General features: G+C 45.3%; 2 annotated features.

Annotated features, from left to right (window-relative positions):
- Positions 14059–14559: an enhancer, noted in NCBI's record as "H3K4me1 hESC enhancer chr2:235996100-235996600 (GRCh37/hg19 assembly coordinates)". NCBI's record gives its function as "activates a minimal SCP1, AML or CMV promoter by ChIP-STARR-seq in naive H9 embryonic stem cells {active_cell/tissue: H9 hESC(naive)}" and the evidence as "EXISTENCE:reporter gene assay evidence [ECO:0000049][PMID:30033119]".
- Positions 17465–18664: an enhancer, noted in NCBI's record as "BRD4-independent group 4 enhancer chr2:235991995-235993194 (GRCh37/hg19 assembly coordinates)". NCBI's record gives its function as "activates an origin of replication core promoter dependent on BRD2, P300/CBP, MED14 and CDK7 cofactors, and independent of BRD4, by STARR-seq in HCT116 cells {active_cell/tissue: HCT116}" and the evidence as "EXISTENCE:reporter gene assay evidence [ECO:0000049][PMID:35650434]".

Raw genomic sequence — 19343 nt, 5'->3', positions numbered from 1 at the left:
AACTGAGGCCCTTCATCTACAAATGCAATTGATGGGGCCAAAGGTACCACTTTTGTCTGAAGGCACTTAGTTCCCAGACCAAGAAACACCCACCTACCCTAAAGAGGAATGTGACCAAAAGACACAGGGCAGGAGCTACCAGCGAGCAGAAGAAACTGCTCTCTGGCTTTGTAAATTATATATATATAACAGAATACTACTCAGTTATAAAAAGGAATAAAATAATGGCATTTGAAGTTACCTGGATGGATTTGGAGACTATTATTCTAAGTGAAGTAACTCAGGAATGGAAAACCAAACATTGTATGTTCACACTCACAAGTGGGAGCTAAGCTATGAGGATGCAAAGGCATAAGAATGACACAACGGACTTTGGGGACTTGGGGGAAAGGGTCGGGGGAGTGAGGGAGTACAGTATACACTGCTTGGGTGATGGGCACACCAAAATCTCCGAAATCACTGCTATAGAACTTATTCATGTAACCAAACATCACCTGTTCCCCTAAAACCTATAGAAATTTAAAAACAAATAGGAAAGGAAAAAAAGAGCCTCCATTTAAAATGTGTTCTTATTCTGAAATAATTACTTCTCCATTTTTAATTCCTCAGCTGCATGGCTGAAGATCATTATATTATAACTGGTGTTAGAGAGTTGATATGATTCCATCCAAAAACAACAAAAAAGTCACATTTAAAATGTTGAAACTGGGCTGTCTTTATTTGTATAACGAGACTTCCTTCTTGATCTTGCTTCTTTCCTTCCTTCCCTCCTCACTCCCTTCCTTCCCTCCCCACTCCCTTCCTTCCTTCATCTCTTTCTCTCTCTCTCTCTCTGTTTATTTTTGTGAGACAAGGCCTTGCTCTGTCGTCCAGGGTAGAGTGCAGTGGCATGATCATAACTCATTGCAACCCCGAACTCCTGGGTGCAAAGCAATCCTCCCACCTTGGCCTCCTGAGTAGCTGGGACTACTGGTAAGCCAACATGCCTAGCTAATTTTTTTTTCTTTTTTGTAGAGATGGGATCGCCCTATGTTGTCCAGACTGGTCTTGAATTCCTGACCTAAAGCCTTCCTCCCACCTTGGCCTCCCAAAATGCCAGAATTACAGGTGTGAGGCACCACACCCAGCCTGCATTACTTTCTTGACGGGCCTTCTAGAGGTCCAAATCTCCAGGGTGAAAATCACTGACTGTCTCATACAAATGAGAGAAAGGTGGCTCAGAGGGGCAGAGTGACTTTCTCTGAGCTGCACAGCAAGCTGGAGGCACTGATTATAGCATGCCTTGGCCTAAGCTTGTGCTGTCCCTGTCCTGGATGTCGTCACCCCAGGGGTCTGTGTGGCCCCTACCTGCCTACATTCAGATCTTGCCGCACATTTCATCTCCTCAAAGAGGACTTCATGGACCATCTGCTATAGAATATGAGCTCCACAGGGCAGGTGATTTTGTGTAGTATGTTCGTTGCTGCATCTCCAGCACCTAAAGAGTAGGTGACAGCAGTGTAGGTCCTTAAAAAATGTGTGCTGAATGAACGAACGATCCTATACAGAAGACAGGAAGGTATTATTACCTCCATTTTATACACCAGAAAGGGGAGACACAAAGAGGTTAGGGAACTTTTCCCAGACCACTAACTTGTGATGTGCCAGGGCCCCTTGGTGGATACACAGGTGCATAAAGGTGCACACACCTACACAAGAAAAAGAACCCTGCAAAGCTGTCGGCTTAGCTGGAGTAAGTGAGAATGGAGGGATAAAAGACAAGGTGGAGACGCTGACAAGACCACATAATTTGGCCTTTTAAAAAATAAACCAAGGAGGCTGACTACTGCAAGGGTTTACACGGGAAAATGAACGTTAATATTCATCGCTTTTGTAATTGAAAGAGACAAACTTGGAAATTATTGGCATCGTGTTTTGAAACTAACAGGAAACTTAAGGAGCAATTTTGCTGCATCTCCTCATTGAACAGGGCCTAACACTAACATGCTTAGCAATGAAGTGACTTGTCTCCGTTAGCCTGGCACGGCCATGTTCTTTGACCCCCAGCACAGTGCTAGTTCTTTTAAATGATGCATTCAGGGTTCTCAAGTTTTTAACCCAATACCAGCAATCCTTTATTCTATGACAGATGCATAAAATTCTTTTTAAAACTCTTACTGAGGTCAGCTATACTGATTTCTATTCTGATATGATCTGCATTCGTTTTCTATGCTTGTATAACAAATTGGCACAAACTCAGTGGCTTAAAGCAACATAAATTTATTTATGTCTTTATTTTACTACATGAGAATATACAGCAACGGCACAAATGTATTATCTCACAGTTTCTGTAAGTCAGGAGTCTCCAGACAGGTTAACTGGGTCCTCTGTCCAGGGGGTCACCAGACTGAACTCAAGGTGTCACTGTAGGGGCTGTGGTTCTTTTGTAAGCCTCTGGGTCCTCAAAGCTCATGTAGTTGTTGGCAGAATCCAGTACCACGAGGCTGCAGCACTGAAGTCCCTGTTTTCTTGCTGGCTGTCAACTGGGGGTCACTCTCAACTCCTAGAGCGTTCCTGAAGTCCCAGCCAAATGGCCCTTTTAGGACATGGTAGCTCACTGCACAGCTGTTTGGTTGGTCTTCAAGGCCAACTGGCTGGTCTTGGAGTCTTATATGACAAAACATAATCACAGGAATGACTAACCTTTGTTGTATAACAAAGCCTAGCCTAAGGAGTGTCTGTTCCTCAATTCCGAGGTGAAATGCAGGGGGATTGCACACGATATGTGCGCCTGGGGGCAGACATCTCCTGGGCCACCTTAGAATTCTGCCTCCCACACCATTCATTTTCATTGGAATTCCAGCATCTCACTGGAATTCTTTTTAGTTCACTTCTTACATGATTTCTGAGAAAAACTTCACACAAATTTTGTTGTGCACACAAGTTGACCTTTAAATATTTCACCACTACTTCATATTTCATTCGGACATTATACAGATTCCTCTTTGAACCTGGCTTTACTGAGTATATTTACTCTCCACCAGAAATGGTATGCTTGGAATGTGATTTCATTTTATATCATCCACATCCCTAACTGCCAAAACACTGGCAGAGTTCACTCTTGAGGTTGCCCAAAGCTCTTATTTCCCAAAACCATCTTCCACCACATGTGCTAGTGACACGGTGCCTGCAACTTCGAGACTCTTCCTCCTTGCTTTTCAGCCCTGTCCTCCCTGGGCTGACCGTCTGCCTCCTTCAATAGTGGATGCCCCGAAAGGGAAGGAAGATGGGTTTAGAATCAAAGAGCTTCCAGAAACCCCGCTTTCCACTTTGATATTTTGAAAAGAATACAAAGTTCGTTTGGTTCTGGAGCTCTCGATTAATGAAAAATCACCAGGAGGCACAACTGTGGGACTAAATCAACAAATCCCAAATCTAGGAAGCAGATGCTTCGAGGACCTATTTATTTATTCAGCATGTACCTGCGTGGCATTTGTGACTCAGCTCCATAAATGCTCTTACAAGAAGGAAAATCCTCCTCTGAGGGTTTTTTGTACAAAAGAAGGGAAGAAGAGGCTCCTTTCCTGTTCCTGGTTTCTTAGCTTTCCTTTGATGCTTAATACCTGGCTCTGAATCTCACAGTTTTCTCTCTGCTCAAGTTACTGTCATCTGACCTCTAGCGGGTCACCCACTTGTTACAGCAAATCTCCCAGACAATAACTCAGGTTATAAATTACCACAATCTGCTAATGTTTGCATTTACTATTGTGTTTGTCTCTAAGAGGAAACAGTATTGCTCTATTTTAAAAAATGGCTTTGCACTAAGAGGTTGTTCTACCGTGTTCATCTCCAGTTGAATTATTTTTATCAGAGTAATAAATGATTTTAGAAAGCTTAAGGGATTGTGAGTAATTGTTATCAATCTAGAAGAGTATGGTTTCTGCTTTCATAGATCTAGATTTATAATAAAATAAAACTCTGACTCTAAGAATGTTTGGGGAGTTGATTCTTTGGTTAATTTAATTTATGGTTACATAAAAGCCAATCTAAATGTTTGTTTCAGTTACTGTTGTTGAAAGTCCGTCTAAAATGTGATGGTTGAAAAAAATATATAGAGATGCCTTTATTGAAAAAAAAATCTGGCTAATTCTATTTCTCTAATAAGTGTATGGAACTGAGTATAAGGTGCTTTAAAGACTTTTGTGGTAGACAGAGAATACATTTGGGGATATCTGTTCCGCTCAAAATGACCTCCCTAAGCTGTTGCTCTCTGGAGAGCTCTGACCATGTGTGTGTAAAATAATCCTGTCTTCTGGCCACAGTGGAGATGGCACCTGGCCCCAAGAGAGCCAGTCAGAACCTTTTATCTGGGAATTTGAGACTAGGACTAATAATAAAAGGGCAGTTTCTTCCAGTGGCTGAAATGATAACATGTGAACTTCAGAGCTCGGGACAGCCATTTTCTCGACAGCAGTTGGACTAAGGGATAGAGATGGCTGTCCTGTCAAGGAACTGGATTGAAATCAAATAGAAAGCCAGCATGTTCTCCCTAGGTGCCCACTGGCCTCCCGTGCCCGGCACTGGCCTTTCCTGAGGTCCAGTTGCATTTCTGCCATTAGCTTCAATGGTTCCTCTCTGTGATCTTATAGGAAACTCCCCATTTCTGCTTAAGCTGGCTGGTGTTACTTGCATCCCAAAGAAATTCACGCTTGTAGTTCCTGAAGCCATCATGCCGACCACTGGTCCTCTGGTCTGGCTCTGGTGTGGTCCTCCTTCCCTGTCCTCTGTGGTGTCCTTGTACAGCCCATCTCCCATCATCCAGGCATGAAACTTGGATGCTACTTTCCATGTCTCCCTCTGCCCTGCAGCCAAGCAGACGCCAGGACCTGTGCATCCCTCCCTGCTCAGCCTCTCCATATGCCAACTTAAAAAAACAACAATACCTTTTTAGTTTGGATGCTTGCACATTCATATGCAGTTGTAAGAAATACTGCAGAGAGATCTCATATAACTTTCGTCCAACTTCCCCAAGGGTAGCATAACTATAGTATAAGGCAATATCACACCACCAGAAAAATGACGCTGATACACAGAGAGACACGGGGAAGACAGCCCTGTGAAGGCAGAGGCAGAGATTGGAGGGGTGCTGCCATCAGTCAGGGAACCCAGAGCTTCCAGAAGCTTAAAAAGTCTGGGCTTCTTCCCTAGAGCTTTCGGAAGGAGCCAGCCCTGCCGACACCTTTATTTCAGACTTTTGCCTCAAAACACCACAATAGAATAAACTTTTGCTGTTTTAAGCCACCCAGTTGGGATAATTCTTTACAGTAGCCTTGGCAAACTAATACTAACCTTTTCCAGATTTCATTCATTGTGAAATGCGTTTGCGTGTGTGTGTGTGTTTAGTCAGATGTAAATTTATCACATATGTAGATACATGTGAGCACCCCTATAGTCAAGATACAGAAAAATTTCATTTCAATGATCCCTTGTGCTACCTTGGAAGATAGTCTCTGACAATCAGTAATCTGTACTCCACTTCTGTGATTTCCTCCCTTCAAGAGTGCCATAGAAATGAAATGAGACAATGTGTGACCTTTCAGGGTTGGCTTTCCCCACTCAGCATAATTCCCTTGAGATCCTTCCAAGTGGTTTGTTGTATGCATTAATAGTTTGAGTTTTTTTAATTGCTGAGTAGTACGCCATGGTATGGATGCACCACAGATTTTTTGTTTGTTTTTGAGACAGGGCATTACTCTGTCACCCAGGCTGAAGTGCGGTGGGGCGACCTTGGCTTATTGCAACCTCTATCTCCTGGGCTCAAGCCATCCTCCCACCTCAGCCTCCTGAGTAGCTGGGACCACAGGCATGTGCCACCACGCCTGGCTAATTTCTGTATTTTCTGTAGAGACAGGGTTTTGCCATGTTGCCCAGGCTGGTCTTGAACTCCTGAGCTCAAGTGATCCTGGCTTCAAGTGATCTTCCCATCTCGGCCTCCCAAAGTGCTGGGATTACCAGTGTGAGCCACTATGCCCGGCCTTACCACAGTTTTTTAACCATACACCCATGATGGATTACTTTGACTGTTTCCAGTTTTTGGCTATCACAAACAAGTCTATAATGAACACTGATGAACAAGTTTTTGTGTGAATAAAAGTTCTCATTTCTTAGGGTTAAATACCCAAGGGTACAACTGCTGGGCCATATGGCAAGTTCATGCTTGGTTTTGTAAGAAATGACTCATCCTCTTTTCCAGAGGATCTGTACCATTTCACATTCCCACCAGTCACATATGAGTGACCCAGCTTCTTCTCATCCTTGTCAACATTTGGCATGGTCGTTATTTTTATGTTAGCTACTCTGGCAGGTGTGTCTCCCATCCTATTCTGGTTTTATTTTACATTTTTCTGGCTGATCATGTTGTTCAGCCTTTCATGCGCTTATTTGCCATCTGCATATCATCACTGTAAGAGTTCTTCATGTATTCTAGAGGCAAGTCCTTTGTCAGATACGTGCTTTGCAAATATTCTTTCCCAGTCTACAGCTTGTTTCTTCAGTCTCTTAATGTGGTCTGTCAGAGAGCAAACATCTTTAACTATCACGAGGCCCAATTGATCAATTTCCTCTATTGTGGATGGTGATTTGGTGTCAAGTCAAAGAACTCTGACTAGCCCCGGATTTCAAAGATTCTCTCCTTGGGTTTTTTTCAAAAGTTTATAGTTCTATGTTTTATGTTTAAGTCCATGATCCATTCTGAGATAATTGTATATGGTGTGAGGTTTAGGTCAAGGTTCATTTTTGTTTGTTTGTTTTTGGACGATGGATGTCCATAGACAGTAGGCGTGTGCTAATTTTAAATAATTGATTCCTGTCAGTTGGTAATTGTATTTTTATTTTGTTTTTGTATTTTGCTCCCACAGGAGTCCCATGCTAAAGAGTGAGGGGAGAAGAAGGGAAAAAAGAGGAGATTGGCAAATCAAGGTTAAGGCATTCTTGAATCAAATACAAATAACACAACACAACATTCAAACCTTAGTTCCCACCTTGCCCTACCTACAGCGCTATGAGGATAAAGTGAAGGCGTGAGTGAGAAACTGCTTACAACCATGAAACCCATAAAGCAGACTTGGGTCATGGTTTGGATGTAAGTCCTGTCCCATGTGTGGCCAGTGTTAGAATGAAATCCCGCTGGGTAATTTACAATCACTTGTATTTATAAAGCATATTTATCTTAAAGTGCTTTCACATACAGTCTGCCTTTTGCCCTCACTGGTATTTAGTCATTTTCAGTCAAAAATATTGAGCCTATATTTATTAAATATATCTAATAAATTTAATAAATACATGAAATACAGTTAATAAATTTAATAAATATATTTAATAAATATAGGCTCAATATTTTATTAAATAAATCAGTCCTTTTATTAAATAAATCAATCCATTTATTAAATAAATCAGCATTTATTGAACATTTTATTAGCATTTACAGTGACAATAAAAGGGAGACTAGACACAGAGAGTAACATAAAAGCATATATGTTAACCTAAAGAATTGGAAATGTGATCTGTCATTCTTTTTTTTTTTTTTTTTTCGAGACAGAGTCTCACTCTGTCACCCAGGCTGCAGTGCAGTGGTGTGATCTCGGCTCACTGCAACCTCCGCTTCCCAGGTTCAAGCAACTCTCTGCCTCAGCGTCCCAAGTAGTTGGGATTACAGGCAACTGCCACCATGCCTGGCTAATTTTTGTATTATTAGTAGAGACGGGATTTCACCATTTTGGCCAGGCTAGTCTTGAACTCCTGACCTTGTGATCTACCTGACTCGGCCCAAAATGCTGGGATTACAGGCATGAGCCATCACGCTCGGCCATGATCTGTCATTCTTTAACAATGATTCTCATGTGACTACATACACTGAGCCTCAATGCAAGTCAGCCTCAAGTGCAGCTGGGCTGGCCACACAAGCAGGCACCTCTTGGGGGGAAGGGCCTTGACCTGGGTGAATTCTTTGCACCCCAGCTCTGGTTTCCAGAAACCCGATTTTGTTATTACACTGACAATGCCTATCTTTCTCAAGGACAGACACAAGTTAACTAGACTCATAAAAACTGATGTGTAAACCCTGAGGCTAATTTATCCATCAATAAGAAGAGAGGTGATTGTTGATGGGACAGAATGGTGTCCGTGTGACATGGCTCAGGGAACACTTTCTTCTGTAGGCTGTTTGCCAGGGCAGCTGGAATGATGACACTGCTTGATGCACAAAGAATTGGAAGAAGGTTGACCTTGGGATGTTCCTCTCATCCTAGGGGGTATGTGCCAAGGATACTTGACTGCACAAACCCCCTGAGGCAAGCTTCATTCAGCCCCAGGGAGCTAGAAGGGTCCTGCCAATGCTTGTGTCTAGGTTTCCACACCTGCCCAACACCCTTTCAACTCCAGCATGACCCAGTTCAGATGACTGGGTTTCTTTTGATTCATTTAAGATCCCGTTCTACCTCGCTTCCTCAACCTCACTGCCAGCTGGCATCTGATGTGCTCCCAAACTCTTCATCCTCATCTTCTGGAAAATCCCCTAAGTTTGCTGCCTCAGTGGTGAATGAAGTCCAGGGTGTGGATTTTACCAGCACTACTCCAGATGCTTGGAAATCCCCATCAGTGCTGCCCCAGGTTCTGGTTATCGATGCACATATTGGGTTTCTATAGATGCTGGCATAGGCTCTCTGAAATGAAAAATGGAGATTTGGGGGAAAGAAAGCTGTTTTAAAAAATAATAATAGCAGTACTTTGTTGTGTTTTTGTTTGTTTGTTGTTTTTTTGTTTTGGTTTGGTTTGGTTTTACATTGCCATGGGTGGACCTCTAGTAATTCCTCCCAATCCCTCATTCTGCAGCAGCTGCTCATCAGCAAGACGAGGTAGATGGCTGCAGAGCAGCGCAGGGACTCAGGCACAGACAGTGAGGCCTGCCCGCCTGTACCGGCAGAAGCCAGCAGGTTACCCAGAGCACACTCTTCCTTGTTTATATTGGATCACTCTGGTCCTGATGAGCTGAAGAATACCTGCAATTATCTCCAAATCCCAATGGGTTCTTCCAAGGCTTCAAAGTGCAAGGAAACCCACATCTGATTAACTATCACTGCTGCCGAGGGCAGGCATTCAGCTGCATGGAAGGCACGAAACCGCATTCGGAAGAAAGCAGTTTCAAACTCTCACAAGCTTCTAATTTCATTTAGTGCTCATAAGCACCCCATGGGGCAGATAATCCGTCCCACATGAGAGACGAAGCCACCAGTGATGAAATAAAAGGCTGCCCAAGGTCACTCTGGAACTGAGACCGGGACCGGACCTGTCTCCAAGGCCAGCGCGCCCTTGGTGTGCCTGACCTTGATGCACACGGCAAAAGAGCAAACAGGATTTGCTGCATCTGTGAGGATGCCCTGGTGCTTGTGGGGAGGAGGAGGAAGCATTGAGCTCGTGAACAGCATGAAAAGTCCAAGCCTTTGCAAAATTATTGAACTTGTGGAATTGGCATGGCCTTCAACAAATATGCCTCTCTTCTGCTAACAGAGTCCTAAGAGAACTGAACGTGGGGTGGGGATTCCAAATGGGCCTGGAGGACGCCTGCAAGGCTTCCAGGAGAGGGGCCTCCACCTCCTCACGTTCTTGGCACCTGGCGGGAACTCTGTGGTCACTCTGTCACTCTCACTCGCCTCTGAGCGATTTTAGGTTTTTGGAGCTGAGGAGCTGCCCCCAGCAGACCCACTGGCTGGGCAGGAGTCTTCCTGGGATGGCTGTGGGCTGAAGGCTGCCCTCTGTCCCGGTGCCACCTTCTAGGCAAATGCCGGCTGATGGGGACTGTGTTCCCAAAGCCATTGTTTAACAGTGACCTGGCAGCCTGGTCACTGAACTTCCCTGCAGTCAAACGTGGGTGTTAGGAAAGGATTTTGAAAAACATCCATACCACAATGTGGCTGCCAGGGTTACACGCTGGACACGTGAAATGTTAGGGCCAGGTCCTGTTTTCAGAGACTCTCAGGTTGGGGAAGGTGGAGCTTGTTCTTTTGATGAGGGGCATCCACTCTGCCAGCCTCCTGCCCCACGCCACTGCCTCTCTCCTCCAGCCACGCCCTGAATATATTCTTATCTGAATATACTATGACATTGGTGGCTACAAAATGGTAACTTTTTTCTAATTCTATTGTTTCTTATCTATTTATTACCTGAATTGTTCTGTAAAGAAGATCTGCCCCCAACATCACTTTTTGGAATTATTTTGGATTTGTGAATGCTTTTTTAAAAATGCAATGTGTTGTAATCCATTTTTAGAAAACACTCAAACCATCCCAAATGCCGCCAGTTGGAGGCCCTTTAAGTCTGCTAATTTCACATTCTTTGCCTAGTCTTTGGGTACACCCTTCCTTCTGACACTAGAAGACATTTCAGGCTGACCTCATACTTTCCGTGCTCCAGGCCTGGAATCACCCTTTTCCCCTTTGGTGGAGAAACCAAACCAAGGCCTGGTTTCTAAACACCATTCTCCACCAATGAGACTGGGCACAGTGGCTCACACCTGTGATCCCAACACTTTGGGAGTCCGAGGCAGGAGGATCGCTTGAGCCCATGAGTTCAAGACCAGCCTGGGCAACACAGTGAGACCCCTGTCTCTACGAAAATAAAAAAAAAAAATTAGCCAGGTGTGGTGGTGGTGGGCACCTGTAGTTGGGAGGCTGAGGCGGGAGGATCACTTAAGCCCAGGAATTCAAAGCTTCAAAGCTGCAGTGAGCTATGATTGTGCGCGCCCCTGCAATCCAGCAGAGTGAGACTCTGTCTTAAAAAAAGAAGAAAAAGAAAAAAAAAAGAAAGACAGAAAGGCAGACAAGAAGGAAGGAAGGAAGGAAAGATGGATGGATGGATGGGGGAGGGAGGGGGAGGGAAGGAAAGAAGGAAGGGAGAGAAAGAAAGAAAGAGGAAAGAGAAAGAAGAAAGAAAGAAAGAGAAAGAAAGAAAGAAAGAGAGAGAGAGAAAGAAAGGAAGGAAGGAAGGAAGGAAGGAGAGAAAGAAAGGAAGGAAGGAGAGAAAGAAAGAAAGAAAGAAAGAAAGAAAGAAAGAAAGAAAGAAAGAAAGAAAGAAAGAAAGAAAGAAGGAAGGAAGAAAACCAACCAAAGTCTAGGTGGCAAGTGTGCTCTTTGCTGCTATTGTGTCACTGTTTCTCCCTTTCAATAGGCAGAGATACGAAACATAGTTTTTTTTAAATTAAAATCATGAGTTCATGTGATGATGCCTTTACCTCCCACCTCCAATCCCACACCAATAGGTTCTTCTTCACATTCCCGCACCTCATATATGTTTATCTCTCGCACTGTGAGGACCTGGGTTTCCAATAACTACATATTTCTTCATTTGCCCAGTCCTACAAACCCACAAAATAGTTTTGTAATTACTACACCAATGTCACTGCTGAAAGCAAACCTATTAAGTAAATGTCAACATGTCTTTGAAGCTCTTTTGTCCTTAAAATCTATCCCACTGGAAGGTGCACAATCAAAGTACACTTTTCAAAAGTTACCTGAATTAATTGTTCTTTTCCTGTGTGGTTAGAATATCAATTTGGCATATAGTTAGGCTCATCTGGGTTTTTTGTTTTTATTATTATTATTATTGAGATGGAGTCTCGCTCTGTCACCCAGGCTGGAGTGCAGCGCTTGATCTCGGCTCACTGCAATCTCCACCTCCTGGGTTCAAGTAATTCTCCCTGCCTCAGACTCCTGAGTAGCTGGGATGACAGGTGCCTGCCACCACGCCCAGGTAATTTAGCATTTTTCAGTAGAGACGGAGTTTCACCATGTTGACCAGGCTGGTTTTGAACTCCTGACCTCAGGTGACCTACCCGCCTAGACCTCCCAAAGTGCTGGGATTACAGGCATGAGCCACCGAGCCCGCTTGGCTCATCTGTTTTTGCTTGTAATCAATTGCATTTGATTCCAATAACAAAAGCCAAGGAAAAATAGAAGAGTGTCACCTTATATAAAGCATGTATAGAGCACCATGACAATGGAAAATATTACTCAAGATAATAAAGTGCAAATTTCAATTTCAATTAAAGGGAAGATGTTTCTCAAGAGATGTAGTGATATGAAATTATCTGGACTTAGAGGACATTGGTACTTTGATTTTTCCTTCATTGTTTTCTTGGGCAATCCTCAGAGAGCTAGGAAGACTTAAATAGGGCCAGGTGCGGTGGTTTATGCCTGTAATCCTAGCACTTTGGGAGGCTGTGGCGGGTGGATTGCTTGGGCGCAGGAATTCAACAGCAGTTTGGGCAACATAGTGAGACCCCATCTCTACAAAAACAATTTTAAAAATTAGCTGAGTGTGGTCACACACCTGTGGTCCCAGCTACTCGGGAGGCTGACGTGGGAGGATCGCTTGAGCCCGGGAAGTTGAGGCTGCAGTGAGCCATGATCGTGCCACTGCACTCCAACCTGGATGACAGAGCAAGACTCTGTCTCAAAAACAAACAAACAAACAAACAAAAAATAGTCACACAATCAATAAGGGCAAAGATGAACCCTGAGATGTAATCATGGATCAACCAAGACAAAATATTACCTGCTGAAAGAACACAAAGGCACCTGGTGATTTCAGTAGCTTAACAAAACAAGAAAAGATTAAAACTCCACACCACTGGACAGTCAGACTTGCCAGGCGTTTTTCACCGGCAAACAGAGTAGGAGTGACAGGTGAGCTGGAGTCACAGTTCTGGCCATTTCTCCCTGAGCTCATTTGCCGTTCTGCCGTTTCTGCTGGAGACTCCACTGCCGTTTAATTCGCAAACTGTTCTGACCACAGTTTGGCTGCTCAGTTGCTACTTTAAATCTTTATTTTCCCTACGTATAATACATAATGTTAATTAAAATGTTGATTCCCGTGGGATTCACAAATTTCATAATTTAAAAACTTTGTGTAATTTCTTTAATTGGGATTCAAATAATGCTGACCTCCCTGAGGAGTTACTGTACATGAAGCTGAACTAGTAATAAAATTAAAATGTCAGATGAGAGTGAAATATACTTTTCTGCCTTGATACACAGCTGAATACTTGCACACTGTGAATCCAAATATGTTCCCCTGTGTTTCTTCTTAAATTCACCTAGCAAGGCCTCTATTCATCATCTCGTGTTTCCCTGGAAACCATTGATAAGATTTCAAAACACTTCAAAACAATATAACCCTTCTCTAGAGATGTTTCCTCGGTTGCCGAGGAAACCTGTCTCTCAAATTTTGGTTCCGGGAGTGAAGATTCCTATGCCAGGAACAAAACCATATCTAGAAATTTTTGAAGACAAGACCTGCCCTGAATAGGAGGATCTTCAGGTGCTTCCATCCTCCACCCACTGGATTTTGTCCCCTGCCCTCTTGTTAGGATTCCTCACGCCGCCGGATGAGGGGGCTACGAGTTCTCTCCCCTGGAGGCCCAGCCCTCACTCACAGCCTCCTCCAGCCCAGCTGGAGATGGAAACTTTCGGAAAATGTACAGGCAGCGCAGTGTGGGGTAGTTGCAATGCAGTGTGGCACTGTGAGTCTCTGCGTCTCTGTCTCTCTCTCTCTCTTCTCAGTTTCTTATTGTTATCCCAATAATTAATGGAAACCAAGCCTGCAAAACCCGGCCCCACCCTCTCCTGCCCCAGCCCACCTTCCTGCTTGTGGGAAAAGGCCAGGGGTGGAGACAAGGAACGGCTAATGCCACAGGGAGGAAATGAAAGCCGGTTGGGAGAGGGAAAGCCTCAAAAGAAAGAACTAAATTAAAGCCTCTCCCATCCCCTCCAGCCAGGGGTCAGCTCCTCCAAGTCCCCAGGCAACAGAAGTGAATGTAGCAGCTAAGGTCAGCATCTGGTCAGATGGTACAGCAGGGGCCCTAGGAACTGGGCAGGGCCAGGACCACTGAAAGGCTGCCCCACCGGCGGGGACCGGCAGGAGGAGGACAGAGATGGGAACGGGAACAGGGAGTGGGAGAGGCGAGGTGGAGAGAGCTATGCGGAGACCCAGCTGGCCATGTACGCGCAGGAGTGGGCACTTGTCCAAGGCAGGGGTGGGACTTCTGAGTTAGCAGCGTTCACCCGTGCTGGCGGGAGGACCCGTGGGGAGGAGGGGCAGGTGCAGAGGAGGGTGCTCCCGGGATGAGCCCAGGAAGAAGGTCCAGGAGTCAGAGGTCTCACTCTATAGCTCAGGGAGAGAAGGCTCCTTACAAAATGCATGACTCCACTTTTGAGAGAAAGCACCAAGATTTTCAGGAAAGTAAAACTGTGTATAACTCAGCTCCATTGGCCCGAGTTGGATTTGGCATCAGGCATAATGCTTGGTTCCCCCAACTCTTCTCTTAGAAGGGACAAAGATTTGGGGGCAGCATCAGGACTCTCACTGCCTGAGAGGGTAAAAGAGGCCTTTGGGAGCCTGCCTGCTGTGGGGCACATAATGATGACCAGGACATGGCTGGGTCCCGGGGAGAGCCCAGCCCGGAGCAGGTGTGGAGGGGGCGGGTGGGCAGGGCCCATCAGAAATGTCCAGATGACACGAGGCAGGGGTGTGAAGGGGAGCACATCCACTGCAGGTGGGGCTGTATCATGTGGGAAGCAGCATTAAACTACGCCTGAAATCGTATCGACTGTTTCTTACAAATGAGAAGGAAGAAAGACCCCCGCCAGGAACAGCATGGTGGGGGAAGTTGAATGCCCAGGTGTCTGCAGCTCAGGGTCTGTGAAGGTGGAAGCCACGGGGTGGGCCCGAGCAGTTTTAAAGAGCCTGCAGTCACTGTTGATAGGCAGGGGAGCCCAGAAACCAGGCAGGGGAGCACAGAAACCAGGCAGGGGCATGACAGCTGCGAAATGTGCCTCCCTTGGAAAACGTGCAGTATCTTCCTTCTCCCAGAGAATGGAGATAAAGGCAGGATTTTGAGGAAAGGCAGGCAGGTGGAGGGGGATTGTTTGGGTCCATGGCTTTCTGCAAATAAGAAGATGCCTCTGTGGGAAGGTAGGCGGGTCTGTGGGACGCACAGCGTGTGGGTGCGAGGTGGATGCAAGGTGTGGGTGCAAGGTGGATGTCTTAGGTTACACTTGGCACCCACATTCCTTTTATTTGAGATGACGCCTTGCCAGGCAAGCAGGCAGCTGCCCCTTCTACAAGGACAGGACATTCTGTTCCACAGAGAAAAACTCGTTTGATACCACTTCACATTCCCTCCTGCTTCCTCACAGTGCCAGACCCAGGATTCTCCCTCGCTTCTGCATCATCAGTTCCTCCTGGATTGTTTCCATTAGCAAATGCACTAAAAACAAACAAACACACAAAACAACATCCTGGCCCTGTTCACGCCCCTCTGCTGCTGCCTTCACTTTCTTCCCCCTCTGCAGCTCAGCTGCTTGGAGGAGCCGCCTCTGCCTGCTCCTGCACCTGTCCTCCTCCCGTGTCATAGTCTCCCTTTCTTTGCTCGGCTGGGCCTCCTGTACCAGGCTGGATTAACCACAGTCCTTGCTCCCTGACACGCCCTCATCGCTGACCCATGGATGGTGCACATTTGGATTTTTACTTATCTAGTTATTTTTAAGCACCAGAAAATTCACCACCCAAAACAAAACCTCTAACTTTGACAACTACCTTCCCGTATCCAGATGGTTCTCCTTTGACCCTCCTGCATTTCTCTACCTGAGGCTAATCATCGCCTGAGTCCTGGCTTTCACTGGCCTGCTTTCTTTTTCATACAGTTTTATTGCTTGTATTTATGCCAATGAAGACTTCATCTGCCCACTTATCTTTTGACTGAGGCATGAGGTTGTTTCCATGTTTTTGCTAAAACCAGCAGGGCTGCAATGAACATCCTTGTACATGTTTCCAGTTGTATGTGACTGTTATCTCCTGGGTTTTTCTCTCTTCTTTTAAAATTACTTTATCCAGAGCTGCTTTCAGTGCACACATGGCTGTTGTTTTCCACAACAAGTGTATCTCAGCATTTCCCCCATCTCTCCTGTGCTCTCTGCCATCACTGTAAGTGGTCACATGCTCCATCATACATGTAGCCATTGACCTGGTGGCCTCCCTACTGCAGGGCTTATGGCCGATGCAATGATTCCACCATGAGTGTCCTGATTATGTGACTTCCTTTGTCTTCAGATTTGTTTTGCCTTTCTTCCTGTGTCATCACAGATCACTGAAAAGTAGAGTAAGTGAAGTCAGTGGCCAAATGGAAATCTTTCAGCCACCTTCACTGCATGTGCCTTGTATTCATCCATTCTCACACTGCTATGAAGAAATACCCAAGACTGGAGTATTTACAAGGTTTAATTGATCCACAGTTCTGCATTCCTGAGGAGGCCTTAGGAAACTTACAATCATGGCAGACTGCCAAGGGGAAGCAAGGCACCTTCTTCACAGAGCGGCAGGACAGAGTGAGTGCAAGCAGGGGAAATGCCAGACACTTATAAAACCAACAGATCTCATGAGACTCACTCACTATCATGAGAACAGCATGGAGGAAACTGCCCCTATGACTCAAATTACCTCCACCTGATCTCACCCTTGACGTTTGGGGATTCTCGGGATTATAATTCAAGGTGAGATTTGGGTGGGGACACAGAGCCAAACCATAACATGCCGCTATGGGTTCTCTGTTTGGCGTATTTGTGTAGATCTGCAAATAATTGACTATTTATTGCTGATTATCATCGAAAGATGCTTCTTTGGCTTTTCTAGAAGGAATTGGAAGAGTTCAGGATTTCTCCCACAATAATAGATGTCAAGTGAAACAGAAGGAAAACAACATAAAAGAAAAGATACAAAATAAAGATTTTCTAATCTTGCATGGACGCAAGGAGCAGAGTTCTCAGTGTTTCAGCTATTAGTTGCTAAGGAACAAAATTCCCCAAAACTTACAGGAGGAAAACAACCAACATTTTATTATTATCATGGATTTTGTGGGTTGGGAATTTGGGCAGGGCACTGTAGAGTTGGCTTGTCTCTGTTCTCTGTTCCACAATGTAAAAGACTTGAATGACTGCAATCTTCTAGAAGTTTCTTCACTCACATCTCTGGTGCCTGAGCTCGGCTGGGACTGCTGATCAGAGTGTTTCCACACAGCCTCCCCACGTGGCTTGGGCTTCCTCAGAGCATGGCAGCTTCAGAGGCATTGGTCTTTTTACCAGGCAGTCAGGACTTCAAGAGCAAATGCTCCAGTGAACAAGGCAGAAACCACATGGCCTTTTAGCCCTGGCTTCAGAAGCCACACAGCATCACATTTGGCCTGAAGAACTCTAAAGACTTGATCCCACTGGTCATGTTCTTGCGGGGCACGAGAGCTGGATCCAGCACCTCTAACTCAGCCGTGTGTAGAGAAGGGCCGACTATTGAGATGCAAAATTGCTGAGCGGTTCATTTTCTTCTAATGTCATCACTAACTGTCACTGGGACTTGGCAGCTCCTCCTTAAGATCAAATGGGTTGGAATTCACTTGGAATCTATTCTAATGAGAAAGAAGACAGTCTTTAACTCTGATAAAATAGTGCTTGGGATCCACTGACTCTTGGTTGGAGAGAAGAAAACCACATGGGAAGCTGGCAGAGGGGAAGTCAGAGGAAGGGAGTGGTGTCCAGAGAACTCCAATACAGCTGTGGGCTCAGGAGCTGAGTAGGAATGATGGTTTCCTAATTGTGAAAACAGGAACAGGTGCCACTACAATGCTACGCCAAAAATAAAATAAAAACATGATGTGAATGCTTAGTAAGAGAACACAATCTTTGGGCTGCTTGTTTTCAAGGTGTGTATATTTCTCCCTTGGGGACCTTTCTGAGAGGTGTCTGGGATCCCGGGCTGGTACTGGGGGCAAAATTCCACCTTAACAGTATTCCAGTGTCATCGTGATCCCCAGGGGGGTTCCCAGAATGGTTGAACATTATTGCTGCGATGGTCACAGATCTAGCTTGGGCCTGTCCCTGGCCACTCATCAGAAGATAGTGGGTGACTAGTGTTGGAATTCCCCTCAGATCAGTGAAGGACAAGAACCAGTTAAAAAATTCACCAGAGTCCTACATGCATCCTTGATCAAGACCTGAGACTCAAGGGAGTTTCTCTGAGAGGAAAACAGAAATAATGCCAATTGGGAGCCCTCCCCAGTCCCTGGGCAGCTGTTCAAGTCTTTGTTTCCTACCCAATTCCTAAACATATTCCACAAAGAGAGATACTTGGATTACTAAAATGATTTTTCATATTTTTAAAAGGCCTTTTGGAAGAACACCCCTTTGGTAGCCCATGGTTTGTACCCTTCTGAAAGTTCCAATCCCTCTGCTTTCTGCTGCTGTTTAGGCAGGAGCAGAGCTCCAGTGGGTGGGGTTCCCTGTCCTCATACCATGATTCAGATGGGTCTGACAGGTCTGTATGTCTTGTCTATGTGGCCTATGGACTGACCCTATCAAAGACATATTTGCTGAGAGACTTTGGAGCTCCCTGGGAAGAAACTCATCCTAAGAGGAAGGAGGGTTGAAGAGCACACAAGGGTACCTAGTGAGTGAGCCAGGTGAGGATCAAGGGCTCATTTTGGTTCTGGACAGCATCTATCCCACTAACTGCTCTGTGGCCCAGCCCACACAGACTCATGTCTGTGCCTTAGGAAGAGGGTTCTGAAATAAACAAGTGAAAAAAAGTGAGTAAGAATGAACAGATTAACTGTTTCACTCAACTCTCATTCTGCAATGTTGACTGTGGGAGGGAAAGCATGTTGAACTGGTGGCCCTGCAGGTGGTTTCGTGGAGGTTTCATGGTGACTGCTGCAGCTCTCTTGCAGCGCTGGTGGCTTCAAAGATGTTGATCTTGATGTGGCAGCAGACACCTCAGCATGGAGCCGGAATCCAGGTAGCACCTGGATCTCACACCTCCCTGTAGCCTGGAATGTGGGGACAATCCCCAGGAGTAGTGTATGGGATGATTTCTGCATCAAACAGTCCAAAGGGCTTGATGGGAACGGCAAGGCCAGGACCAGACCAGACCAGATCAAGACCCGATGGGGAGGCCTGACCAGGAGTCAGGGCACTAAATCACAAAGAATCCCCAGAGCTGCCAAATGAGCAATCAATTTACCGACTAACACACACAAGTCTATTTTATCAGCTATCAAGTTCACAAAGATATTTTAAATTTATAATCCCAAGGGAGAGCTAAAACCATGAGGTGAAAAGTTGATGGGAAACTTTATAATGGATGGATCAGGCTGACAATACCTGATTCCTCTCATTTATCTTAACGTCACCAAAGGTGGGACCCCAGACATCCTGTGCCTCTTGACTCTCGGCAATAAGTTTCTAGTGTCACCTGTAATGTTTTATTGT

This window comes from Homo sapiens, chromosome 2 (genome assembly GCF_000001405.40).
Source record: "Homo sapiens chromosome 2, GRCh38.p14 Primary Assembly".
Classification (NCBI taxonomy): Eukaryota; Metazoa; Chordata; class Mammalia; order Primates; family Hominidae; genus Homo; species Homo sapiens.
Note: the sequence above shows the minus strand (reverse complement) of the source record. Positions and strands in the feature narration are given on the sequence as shown.